The sequence below is a fragment of the Homo sapiens genome, chromosome 8 (assembly GCF_000001405.40).
Source record: "Homo sapiens chromosome 8, GRCh38.p14 Primary Assembly".
Taxonomy (NCBI): Eukaryota; Metazoa; Chordata; class Mammalia; order Primates; family Hominidae; genus Homo; species Homo sapiens.
The window spans coordinates 114,933,902-114,947,882 of NC_000008.11; the positions used below are offsets into that span (position 1 = coordinate 114,933,902).

A 13,981-nucleotide genomic window follows, 5' to 3' on the forward strand; every position below is an offset into this window, starting at 1 on the left:
GAAGATTTGATAAGCTCCGAAAGAAAAATTTTAGACACTGTGATAATACAACTAGAAATAAAAAACAACAATGTGCCATCTACAAGACAATCTTGCCTGAAAGAAACGGACTCTGAAAAATAAGTGTAAAAGGATACACAACAATTTACCAAATAAAAACAAACCGAAAGAAACAAGGGTCATAATATTTATATGAAGGAGTTAAAATCCAAGCATTTTGCAATAACTCAAACCAAGAAAAAGACTTTAGTGTAATAAAAGATTCTATGCACAACAAATATGTAACTTTTCCTAATAAACATGGCATTGAAATGTATGGAGAAAAAATCCTAGCAATATAAGGAATATGAGCAGAATTTGTAGACTAAAATTTCTAACTAAGCAAGTTGAAAAAAATGTATATTTTAAAATAAGAAATACGTATGTGTGTTAGTGTATGTATATGTATGGTATATACATATAAATATCTATAAATGTCTATGGCATATATGTATATTTCAGGCACATACATACACACATTCTATAAAGATAGAAAAAAATTAATTCCAAAAAATGACATATAGTACAAAATATATTTACTTCATTATAATAAAACTAAATATAATTATAAAAATAGAGACAGAAAACAATGCCTTATAAATTAAAATATATGTATTATAAGCAAAGTTCAGAGATAAACAGAAATAAACTATAGAGAAATATTTTTAAAATTGTTATAATCAATAAAATGATACACAAATGGAAATTTTTAGCAAAAGTCATATATGAGAAATTCAAAAATTATTTCATGCAGGTAGCAAAAATTAGGAAGAAAACAACTAAATATCCACACTAGAGACTAACAATATGTTTCATATTTTCAGTTAATGATATAAATAACATATATAATCAAATGGTATGTAAACATTTTTTAAAAATCATGCAGCACATCTATATTTATTGAACAGATAAAAGGGTATGATGAGAAAAGCCTTTCATTAGGCACAGAAGAGCCTGCCTAGTTATTCTGGCTGATAAACTCTGAGGGTCAGGAGAGCTGGGACTACTCTTACAGATCCTGATCAGCAATGAATCCCTAATCCTAACACAACAGTGGAACTTTTTAAAGTTATATGTTACTTTTGACACACTGATATAAACTATGGGCTTTTTCTCCTGGGAAATTTGAAACCCAATGATAGGGCTCTATGGACCCCTGATTAAGAACCCTTGGCACTAGTAGATGGTAGTGTGACTTCCAACATCTGATTTAGTGTGTTTGGACCCTCATTCTGCAAAATGTGAACAATTCACCGCATTTGGTAATTATGAGTGCTGAGTGAGTTCATACTCACAAATGTTTAATAGCCAGAATATACTAAGTGCTAAATGCACATATGAAATTTTTAACTAGCACTATACCTGGCACATTGTACAAGAGTTCAGCAAATATTTATTAAAGGAATAAGTAACTGTTCTTACCTACTTCTCAGGATTGTGAATGTCAGATCATTGGCATAACTTTGAAAATTATAAAGCAACAAATGAAGAATTCTTGTCTCATTCTGGGGCTTTGAGGATATTCATAGGACATAAATCATAGCTCTACCATAAACATAATGCTTCTTTTGCAAGATTCGCTATGGTATTTGCTTCCATCCAGCAACGCCCTTCAATTAAGTTGACTTTTTGGCATACTTAACATTTGCATGCTATGATACATCTCTCATGTGACCCTATTCTCTTTTTTAATCTTAAGAATCTTATGTTTTCAATATAACCAAGTGCAGAAGTTCAGTTTCTGACACTGAAAGCTATTCCAGTGTTTTGGAGAATTCTGACATCGTAGGTTCTAAAATGAGATATGAGCAGAAAGAAGAGCTCTTGGTGGGAGAATCGGACTTTCTCCTTTCTTTCAATATGGTGAGCCAGACAAGAGGTTGTATTTTCTTCAAGATGTGAGTTATCTGGAAATAAAATAAGGAGAAAAAAATTAAGCTTTTTTATAATATGAGTTTTTTGACATTATAACAATATATCTTTGATATAGTAATTTCCTCATTTGTTTGAAAATTTTCAAGCATACATAATGTTTGAAAGAATAATAAAGTGAGATATATCTTCCATTTAGAATAAACAGTGTAAAAATCTGCCATGATTTGCTTGTTCTCAGCAAGTTGCAGTTATCATGGCGTTACCCTAAACAATTTAGCACGCATCACCGCATAAACACAATGCTATGATCACATCTAAGAAAATTACAATAATTCCATAACATTATCTAAATTCACCGAACAAAATTCCCTAATTTAAGACAATTTGAGAATCAAAACGGAAAACTAAAGAATTGAAAACTAAAAAAAAACCCCAAAGATTATTTGGTTATAAATAATGTTTGAATCCATAGACAGAAAATGAGAGGGTGGTGTTTCTGTGCAGAAAATGCCAGATAATACACAAAGAAGAAATGACAGATTTTTTTAAATTGGCATTTTGTAATTCCTGTGGAGAGCAAAATAATTGTCTTCCAAAGATACCTAAGTCCTAAACTCAGGAGCCTATGAATGTGTCACTTTACATGACAAAAGAGACTTTGTAGATATAATTAAAATGTGACCCTGAGATGGGGAGATTTTACTGGATTGTGTAGGTAGGTCCAATCTATTCATATTGATCTTTAAAAGCAGAGAGCCTTTACCAGCTGCAGTCAGAGGAAGATGTGACTATGGGAGGAGAGTTAAAAAGACACAAGATGAAAAGGACTTAACCTGATGTCACTGCCCTTGAAGATGGAGCAAGGGGTCACCAGCCAATTCTTGTGAGTAGCCTTTAGAAATTGGAAAGAGACAAAAATACAGATTTTCCCATAGTGCCTTTAGAAATGAATGAAGCCCTGCTAGCCAGTAGATTGTAACCTAGTGAGACCTGCATCAGAATTCTGACCTTCAGAATTCTAACTGTAAGGTAATAAAGTTGTGTTGTTTTAGGCTGCTAGATATGTGGGAGTTTTAAATAGCAGTGGTAGACAACTAATACAAGCCCTTCAAAATAATTGACTCAGAAAGCTCATCAGTGGATGCTAGCTAGAAGCTTTGGGTAAACTGGTGATGTGTAATAGGGCAGCCAAATGAGGCCAGAGTGTCAACCCACAGATCATTCACTAATTACAGAAGAAAAAGGTGTCTTTACAATGGGGGAAGAGTGGCATTTATCACCTTAATTAAAGTTAGTTTCTTTAATGGGGGATGTCTTCACAGCGTGGGTCCCCTGGTCCAATGCTCTGTGAAGTTCATACATCATGTAAAGTGTTCTTGCCAATGTTTAGCTAAATCTAATACAACCTATATACTTACTTATATTCATAAAAAAATATTCGGACAACAGAAGAAAATGTAAAGGAAATATAAATAATTATATCCAGAGCATAAGATATAAGACAACACTCCCAGAGTCTTCAAAATGTCAATGTAATAGAAAGAAATTAAAGAAGTAAAAGTCCTGTTAAAAATTAAAAGGTAATAAAGAAATATCACAGTCAAATGCAATGTGTAAACCTTGACTAGATCCTAAATAACAAAAAGGAAGGAAGGAAGAAAGGAAGAAAGGAAGGAAGAAAGGAAGGAGGGAAGGAGGGAAGGGAGGAAAGGGAGGGAAGGCAGCTATAAATTATTTTATAAATATATTAACGATTAAAAATAATATACACAAAATTTCCACTAGCATCACTTTTTTCTTTTCCAATCATTAATAAATATATTGGCTGTTTACTGTGGAAAGAGCATTGATTTGGACCCATGGGACCTTGGTTCCAGTCCTGATTATGCCTACAAATGATTTAGGGAAAAACATTTAATTTGTCTGACTGTCAGCTTCATAAACTAGATTGTATTGCATGATTTCCGCTGAGCCTGAAACTTGCACATTCCTTGGCATTTCCTCCAGGAGAACCTTTGGAAAGATTTTCTTTGACTCTCAATTCTAATGAAAACTTCAAATGACAAATTTGCTGAGTGAGCATATAAGTTTTTTATTGCTCTGTAACAAAGTACCCCAAATGAAGTAGCTTAAACCAACACAAGTTTATTATCTCACAAGTTCTATAGGTCATAAATAGGGGCATGTTATGGCTGGATTCTTTACTCAGGGTTTCAATGTACTGAAAGCAAGACATTGGCTGGAGCTGTGGTTCTCATCTTGGCTCAGGATTCTCTTCCAGGTTTACTTGTTTGGGGCGGAATTTCTTTTCTTGCAACTCCAGGACTGAAGTCCCCATTATCTTTCTAGCCGTTGGCTGGGATCAGCTCTCAGCTCCTAGATGCTGCCTGCAGTTCTTTACCATGTAGCAACCATAGACAATTCACAACATGAGTGATTGCTTTCTCCCAGGCAACCTGCAGCATATTTATGACTGTCTTCTGCTACCTGCCTGCAGAAAATAGTGCTTTTATAAAACTTATGTGATTAGGTCAGACCCACTTAAATAATTGCTCTCTATCATTAGGTCAACTAATTCAAGACCTCAGTTATGTCTGCAAAATCCCTTTTGATCTACAAAATATTCTAATCATGGGATTGAAATTCACTATATTCAAAAATCTTGAGAATTATGCAGAGCGTGTTTACAATGAGTCAGTAAATCTTGTGGTCCATCCTAGGATTCTGCTATTACATGGTTATCTCAAATCCACTATGTAAAAAATAATGCATTCAATTGTCATAAGTTTGTAGAAAGTATTTTGCAATACACATAATTTTCCATGGAAATCATTAAAAATATTGAGTCAAAGGTATTTCTTATTTTGAAGGGTAAAAAAATTAGTTCAGTTCCTCTATAGACTTAAAACATAACAGTATCATAAGAGAAATTAAATTGAGATGAATATGAATTCATATATCAGATCAATAAAGTGATTTATGTGAAAAGCTTGCAAAAGTGTATATTATCACATGTTAAGAGCAAGAAGAATGTTATACCAAGTGCAGAGAGTTCAGATCAAAGAAAAATAAACATACTTTTAAAAGTTAAAAACTATTTAAAAGAATTCATGAATATGAAGAATTAATGGAAGCAAACACATTCCATGCCATTAAAAGGTAATTTGAAGGATTAAAGGAACTCTTATGATTTAAAGTCACACCTTCAGAGAATTTTGTGAATATTTTAAACGTACAGACAAATATAGCATTTATTCAATTCAGTAAGACGTAGTGGAATTCTGTACAAATTGTAGGATGAGAAGAGATGTGAACAACAAAATTCACGTATAAAAGAATGTGTTTATTTATCTATTTATTTATGTAGCAAAAAAATGGAAGGATACCTTGCCAGATGCTGAGGAATATTTTTTAATATGGATATATGCATTTTCCTCTGCCACTTACTATGTAGAAAAGAAGACAGACATTGGTCAAAATTTCAAGGTGGAGTGCTATGAATAGTAAAGATTGGTATGCTATAGAAACATGTAGCACTAAGGCTTGTTTGAAAAACATGATTACTGCAATTGGAATCAGGAAAAATATATTGAAAATAAGCTTAGTTCCTCTTTTGGTAATTGTCTGTTTTTTATTTTACTTTACGTTCAATGGTGAAGGAAGAAGTGTTGATTGTATGAAAATAATAAATTGTGTTCTTGATTTTTTAAGCAGTAAAATCTTGAATGTGATATCTTAGGATACTATTTCCAGTGCTTTGGTGAGAAGAATTAATAGCACAATGATTCTATATTATTTTTAAAGTAAAATACATTTTGACGTACTAATATTGGACTTTAAAAGGAAAAGAGGTTGGGCGTGGTGGCTCACGCCCGTAATCCCAGCACTTTGGGAGGCCGGGGCGGGTGGATCACAAGGTCAGGAGATCGAGACCATCCTGGCTAACACAGTGAAACCCCGTCTCTACTAAAAATACAAAAAAAAAAAAAAAAAATTAGCCGGGCGTGATGGCGGGTGCCTGTAGTCCCAGCTACTCGGGAGGCTGAGGCAGGAGAAGCGTGAACCCGGGAGGCGGAGGTTGCAGAGAGCCGAGATCACGCCACTGCACTCCAGCCTGGGTGATAGACCGGCGACTCCGTCTCAAAATAATAATAACAATAATTAATTTAAAAAAAAGGAGAAGAAAGGCATTAAAGTAGAATGCGACCCTCTTTTAACTATTTCAAAATTAGCCGATCTCAATTGTTAAAAAAACATTGACTTTCAGACCTAGGGCATAGCTCAAAGGCCTTTCATTCTAATTTCTTAGACACAGATAATTCAAATGTCTTCCGCATCTCTTAGGATATCACCAATAATAGGCACATTCTCACACTTCTTGAAGAAACCTCCTTTTTTTTTTTTTTTTTTGGAAAGTTATATTTCAATGTTTACATACAGTCCAAATTAGTGTCTATACACACTACATCATTGATTCCACTTATATGTCTGGTGTCTCTGATACTTCTTTCTTCTACAGTACAGACCGTTGACTATTTTGTAATTAGCTCTCATCTCATTTACTTCTGAATTATTCTGTTTCCCAAGCTAAATATTTCCAGTTTCACCAGAAATCAGAACTATTTCTCCATGCTACACATTATCATTTTAGCTTTAGTTCACTGTTTTAGCATATAAAAGTCTTTTTGACCATGTTTGTAATTGAACATATTTTCCCCTTCCATAAGTTTGCTAAAGATCTTTTTGTAATACCATTCAATAAACCAACAGAAGTATGAAAAGAACAGAGTGGATATTGGTGCACATCTTTGGAAACTTGCTTTGCAACTAAAATCCATTCAATAATAGCTTGCTTTTAGGACACCAGAATCATTCCAAGTTTTCTAAAGTGGAATTAATACTGGGTTTAAAAAATGTCTGGTTGAAATCTAGATACAGCAGCCTACTGCCCTTGCACTTCACTGATCTACTTAAATAGCAACACTTTCCATAGGAAAATGAAGTCATTTGGATATGGTTTGTCATATCTGCATTGCCTCAATGCCCTTTGATTCTGGGATCAATTTTTTTTAAAACCTCCTACAAACAGTTAACATATGAGGCCCTATTCATTTTAATCCTAAAATGGATTTAATTATTTTTAAAACAGAAATTTAAATTTGGATTTTCATCATGGCTGTGAAGTAGCAAAAATGCTTAAAAATAAAAGAGACTCTGAGATAGTGGCTAGCTAACTGACAAGTATGCAGATGAACTTTATCTTCTGCAAAATTCATAGAGTAGCGTGTCTCTTTAGAAAGCAGCCCTTGAAAGTCTGGGATTTTCTGATGCATAAAGAAGTGCTCTAAAAATGCCAGGGAGGTAGAACACTCATTGTGCTTGTCAATGGAATGTCCCATTAGTAACCCCTGTGGAAATCACAAAGCTCCCAAGCACATTGAGTCATGAAGGTCACCCTGCATAAATCTGTCTACATTCATGAGTTGCTACCGCTAACTGCCACCACATCAAGTTCAGTGTACACCCCATGCTGCTGAAATGGCGGGACACATTGAATAAAATCCAAGCTCCTACATTCACATTTCTTTTTGTTTATCTTTAAGGCAGTACAGTATCTATTCAGAAACGTGCCCTTGAGCATTTGCATATCTGGAACAGCAGTCCCTAATCCTCCCAAGCTTTGAGAGAGGCATGTATTATTGGTTTGCACACATTTCAAGAGAAAAATGCTGGCCACAGCTCCTACTACAGAAATATGACATAGCATATTCTTAGTCTTGCAACACTGAGAAATTGAAATAGCTAGGCAAATAATCATAATTCTAAGCTCTGACAACTAAAGATAATCATTTTTACATCAAAATAATAGTAGTTATGCTATACTGTGGTATATGTTTACAAATTTTACAGCTTAAAAATTCTTGAAGCATTACTTGTTTTATTTCCAAACATTGTAATGGGGTGATGTTAACTTTACCATTCTATAGATAAGAAAACACTCTCAGAAAAGCTAGGGTACTCAATGAAGTCAATTAGGACTTAGATTTAAATTCTGGTCCAAATGCAATATCCTGTAAATTTTGGTTCTGATTTTCAAAAGTAAAGATGTGTAATTTTTAATTAATCATTTAAATAATTTTTTGAAAAATCATTTCTCTGCTACTGAATTCTGTCCTTTTCTAGATATGTTAGTATTTTTTAGTTGTGTTATATGTTTAATATATATAATATATCTGTTAATATCATTTCTTACTGCATTAATGTATGTTACCACTATATTGTATTTCTCAATACAGACAACGTTTAAAAAGTAGTAAACATTTGTCTATTTTACATTAAAATTTTTAATGTTGAAGAATTTCACAAGCATTATGGGAGAAAAAAATAATAATAAAATAATAAAATAAAAGAACCATATAATAGAAATGTATTCGGAAGGGCACTTTAGGTCTGAGAAATATTTAATATGTCTACTTTTTAATTCAAAAAAGGTCACTTTATAAACAATTTGACAAGATATTTTAAGTTTATGGAAAAGTTTATTCAATAAATACCACATCTATTTAGAAAAAATATAAAACTAGATACACAACATGAAACACCTATATCACATGAAAGAAAAACATGAAATTCCAAATAGATTGAAACTACAAAAATGTTGAAAACAGATACAAGAGAATATTTGTATAATCTTGATATGAAACTAAAAGATAGACTTGACAATGTATTAAAACTTCTGACAAAATATACCATGAGCACAGTTAAAAGATAATAAACAAGATTAATATTGCACATAACAAAGGAATCTATCTTTATTATATAAAGAGTCTTTATAGATTATTAGAAAAAAAGAATAGAAATATATAGGAAGTTAACAAGTGAAGAAATCCAAATGACAAATCTATTTGTTAAAATCTTAAAGTGTAGGTAAAATAGGATTCACTTGTCAGATTAGCAAAGATTAAAAATAATTTTATTTTATTTTATTTTATTTTATTTTGAGACGGAGTGTCAGTCTGTCGCCCAGGCTGGAGTGCAGTGGTGCGATCTCTTCTCACTGCAAGCTCCGCCTCCAGGGGTCACGCCATTCTCCTGCCTCAGCCTCCCGAGTAGCTGGGACTACAGGCGCCCACCACCATGCCCCGCTAATTTTCTGTATTTTTTATTAGAGACGGAGTTTCACCTTGTTAGCCAGGATGGTCTCGATCTCCTGACCTCGTGATCCGCCCGCCTCGGCCTCCCAAAGTTCTGGGATTACAGGCATGAGCCACCGCGCCCGGCCTAAAAATAACTTTTAATATCCAATGATGTTATAAAAAATAGTTTCGCTGGAGGCCATTATCCTAAACAAATTAACACTGAAATGGAAAACCAAATACTGCGTGTTCGCTCTTATAAGTGGGAGCTAAACACTGAGTAAATTTGGACACAAAGAAGGAAAAAATAGACACTTGAGGCTCCTTGAGGCGTGGGGGTGGGAGGACTGCAAGGGTACAAAAAAAAAAAAATTCCTATTGAGTTCTATTCTCATTACCTGGGTAACAAAATAATCTATACACCAAACTCCCACAATGAGCAAGTTTCCCACGTAACAAACTTGCGCAAGCACCCCCTGAACCAAAAATAAAGTTGGATAAATAAATAAATAATAAAATCACACAAAGCAAGGAAAAAAATAAAACACAAGTGGTTTAGATTTTTTTTTTCTCCTTTAAATAGCTTTTATTTTTAAGGCAAGTTTCAGGTTCACAGGAAAACAGAATAGAAAGCACAGAAAATTCCCACATACCCCCTCACCTGCTCCCCATGGCCTCCTCTCCTATGAATATTCTGCACCAGAGCGGTACATTTATTGCAACTGATGGACATACATAAACATGTTACTACCCAAATCCATTGTACACGTTAGGGTTTAGTCTTAGCGTTGTATACTCTATGGGTTTTAACAAATGCGTACTGACCAGTACTCACCATAATAGTGTCATATAGAATAGTTTCATTGCCCTGAAATCCTCTGTGCTCCATATATTCATCCCTCTCTCCCTATAAATTTCTGGTAACTACTGATCTTTTTACTGTCTCCATAGTTCTGTCTTTTTCAGGATACCAAGTACTTGGAATCATCCAGTATGTAGCCTGTCCACACTTCCTTCTTAGTAATATGCATTTAAGTTATTTTCGTGTCTTTTCATGGCTTCATAACCCATTTTCATAGTGCTGAATGATATTCCATTGTCTGAATGGATATATTTATTCATTCACCTGCTGAAGGACATCTTGGTTACTTCCCATTTTGGCAATTATGAAAAGGCTACATAGACATCCATGTGCGGGTTTTTGTGTGGACATAAGTTAGCAACTCATCAGACTAAATACCAAAGAGCATGACTGCTGGAGCATATGGTAAGACTGAGTTTAGTTTTGTAAGAAACCACCAAATTGTCTTCCAAACTGACTGCGCCATTTTGCAATCTCACCAGTAATGACTAAGAATTCTTGTTGCTAAGAATTTATGATCTCAGAGTTCTGGATTTTGGACATTTTAACAGACATGAAGTATTTCATTGTTACTTGGAATTCCCCTAATAAAATATGATGTAGAGCATCTTTTCATATGTTTACTACCCATCATATATCTTCTTTGTTGAGGTATCTGCTAAGTTCTTTTGCCAATTTTTAAATAGTGTTTTGAGTTTTGAAAGTCATTTGTATATTTAAAATAACAGTCCTTTATCATATAGGTATTTTGTGAAGATTTTCTTCCAATCCATATTTTTTCTTCCTCTCATTTTCTTTACAATCTTGCACAGACATAGCAAACATTTTTGATTTTTATGAAGCCTTGCTAATCAATTCTTTCTATCATGGATTGTGTCTTTGTTGTTGTCTAAAAAGTCATTGACATACCTAGGGTCATTTAGTTTTTCTCCTGTTATCATCTAAAACTTTTGTAGTTTTGCATTTTAAATTTAGGTCTGTGATTCATTTTTAGTTAATTTTTGTGAAGGGTATGAGGTCAAGGTCCAGACTGACTGTTTTTATTTGTGGATATCAAGTTGTTCTAGCAACTAGACTCAACTTTTGTCTAAAAAACTATTTTCGCTGTATATTATTGCCTTTAGCTTTTGTCAAATATCAGTTGATTTTATGTATGTATGTTTATTTCTAGGCTTTCTATTCTATCCTGTTCATCATTCGTTTATTCTTTTGCCAATGTTACATTGTCTTAATTACTGGAGCTCTATAATAATTGTTGAAATCAGGTAGCATCAATCCTCTAACTGCTATTCTTCAATATTGTGTTGGCTATGTTGTATCTTGCCTCTCTATGTAAACTATGCTTTTTAGAGTAACTTTTTTTTTAATTTCCCTAAGATTTTGGAGAACAGGTGGTGTTTGGTTACATGAATAAGTTCGTTAATGGTAATTGGTGAGAATTTTAGTTCACCTATCACCTGAGCAGTATCCACTGTACATCATTTGTGGTATTTCATCCCTCACCCGCCTCCCACACTTTCCCCCAAGTCCCCAAAGTTCATTGTATCATTCTTTTTTGTTGTTGTTGTTAGAAAAATAGAAACTTTAATGCTTTTTTATTCACGTGACTTTAGTAATCTTTTGGAAATAAAGACAGTTTTAAAGATTATTGGTAAAATAAAAATGTCTTCAAAATGTAGACATTTGGTCTAAAGGTCAGATATTAGATTTGCTAAATGCTTTAAGGTTGTAAACTGCTTCCTTGACTTTTGAAAATTGTTCAATTTACTTACTTTGGAGCATTAGATTCTAGATAAGGGCTGGGGACATGTGAAGTTAGCCATGCCTCCTAGCTATACTAGAAAGAGTCAGATCTTATCTTCACTTCCATTTGGCTTCCTAGGCCCCACACATAGTACGTAATTAAAATCTCTTACTTGTCGGGCTTTTCACCAAAAATAAAAGTTGCTAAGGGTTAACATTGCAACATGTGACTGAGACTACTGGAGAAATGGTTTTACATCCAAAGTATGTAAGGATAGTAGTATGTGTTTTTGGTAAAAGATTATAAGTCGGCATGGAAATGTGGCTTCTGTTAAGCAGAATATAATTTTGTCTAGTTTAGAGGGATTTAAAGATTGTCTTAACCTAAAAGAATATTGGGACAAAACTGAAGGTTTAAGGAAGTTGAAAAGGGTTTGTGAAGGGTTGGTCTTATGAAGAAAGTTCTGTGGGTATGAGTAAGTTGGCTAAGACTTGAAGGGGATTATTTAATTTTTTTCCATATGTTGAACATTAAAATAAAAGCACATTAATGCAGGGCCAGAATCTGGGCCCATGTGTCAGAATAATGGAGTTTTCTTAGAAAATTGATCTGCTGTTAACAGAAAATTGTAAAGGGTTCTAAAAAGTTTATGAAAATCTTACCTTATGGTCAAACTAGTTAAAACTGAATAGATTGATAAACTCTTATTTAGAAACTAGCTATAGCATTAAAGAGGCACTAATGCAAACATGAAATTTGGTTTTCTCTCTTTTTTCCTTTATCTTTTCTTATGTAAACTTTAGAGTTAGTTTGCTGATTTCCACAAAATAACTTGCTGTGATTTTTACTGGGATTGCACTGAATCTACAGAACAATTTTTGGAAATTACTGACATTTTGATATTACTAAGCATTCCTATCCATGAACATGGAATATCTCTCAATCAGTAAGTCTTTTATATGTTTTTTATTATATAAATAACACTTGTTTAGAGTGTTGGAGATAGGCAAAAGACGAAATGATAACTTATAAAGGGAATTGTTTAAAAGTTTGAGGAAGATTGAGCACACTGTTTTTGGAAAAATTTACTGTGACCAAAGAATTATCCAACCAGTCAAGTGGTCTCCACATGTGACAGCAATATCGGGACAATTAAAGATGCCAGGAAATGTGTAATCTTTCAAAACTATGAATATAAACATATATCAGTCAACCAAGAAATAAATCGACATAAGGAACACATGAATAAGAAAACTGTGAATAGTCAACTTACTTAAATGTAGAATTAAATTTAGGAACTATACTACAAATTGTTATGCAAAAGAATGCAAATATATTATTATTACTAACTTGATTGTGGCAGACAAGATGAACCACACAGATATTCTTTTTTTGTTTGTTTTGTTTTGTTTTGTTTTTTCTGAGACAGAGTCTTGCTCTGTCATCCAGGCTGGAGTGCAGTGGTGTGATCTCGGCTCACTGCAACCTCTGCCTCCTTGGTACAAGCAATTCTGCTGTCTCAGCTTCCCAAGTAACTGGGATTACAATCACACACCACAACTCCTGGCTACTTTTTGTATTTTTAGTAGAGACGAGGTTTCTCCATATTAGCTAGTCTGGTCTTGAACTCCTGATCTCGTGATCCTCCCACATCGGCCTCCCAAAGTGCTGGGATTAAAGGCGTGACCCACTGCACCCAGCCACCACACAGATATTTCTTAAAGGCGATCTGCACAGCTGTAAATTTTGTGATTAGTTGAGAGTCTGATAGTTGAGAGTCTTTGTGATTAGTTGAGCGCTGTTGTATTACATAAGGTCTTGTTCTACTTTTGAGTCTAGTCAAGCTTTTCTCTGCAGGGCCATAACTAATGAATGCCTGAGAAAAGCAGTGGCACAAGGAACATTTACACCCAATGCTGGACTTCTCTAACTGGCTCTTTGCCGTGGAGCTCCTTATGGAACTGACAGAGAGACTTTTCCAGACTTGCATTGCAGTCTGATGGCTCCCTAGTAAATCTAACTCTGTCATGCTGTCTCCTTCCAGGAGAACCGACACTGCAACAGCAACTTTTTATATTGAATAATTTCAATTATATAAAAAGTTGAAAAATTATAACAAACATCCGTATTTAATTTTCAGCCATGATAAATGTTTGTACAATTGCTTTATCTTTTTTACCATATATATATAGTGTGTATATATATATAAAAATATAGAGAAAGATATATATGTGTGTATACATATGCATACGTGTGTATATGTATATATTTGTCCTACCATTAGGTTCGCCTGCACACACCTTGAAACTATTGTTCAATATTTTA

General features: G+C 33.8%; 1 long non-coding RNA gene across 1 annotated transcript in view; it reads right to left on the reverse strand.

Annotated features, from left to right (window-relative positions):
• Positions 1-1,712: 1,712 nt before the first annotated feature.
• LOC107986901 (uncharacterized) overlaps positions 1,713-13,981 on the reverse strand; it is a 34,966-nt gene continuing 22,697 nt past the window's right edge. Inside the window, exon 3 of the long non-coding RNA XR_001745735.2 lies at positions 1,713-1,946. This is a non-coding gene — a long non-coding RNA (uncharacterized LOC107986901). The remainder of the gene's footprint in view (positions 1,947-13,981) is intronic.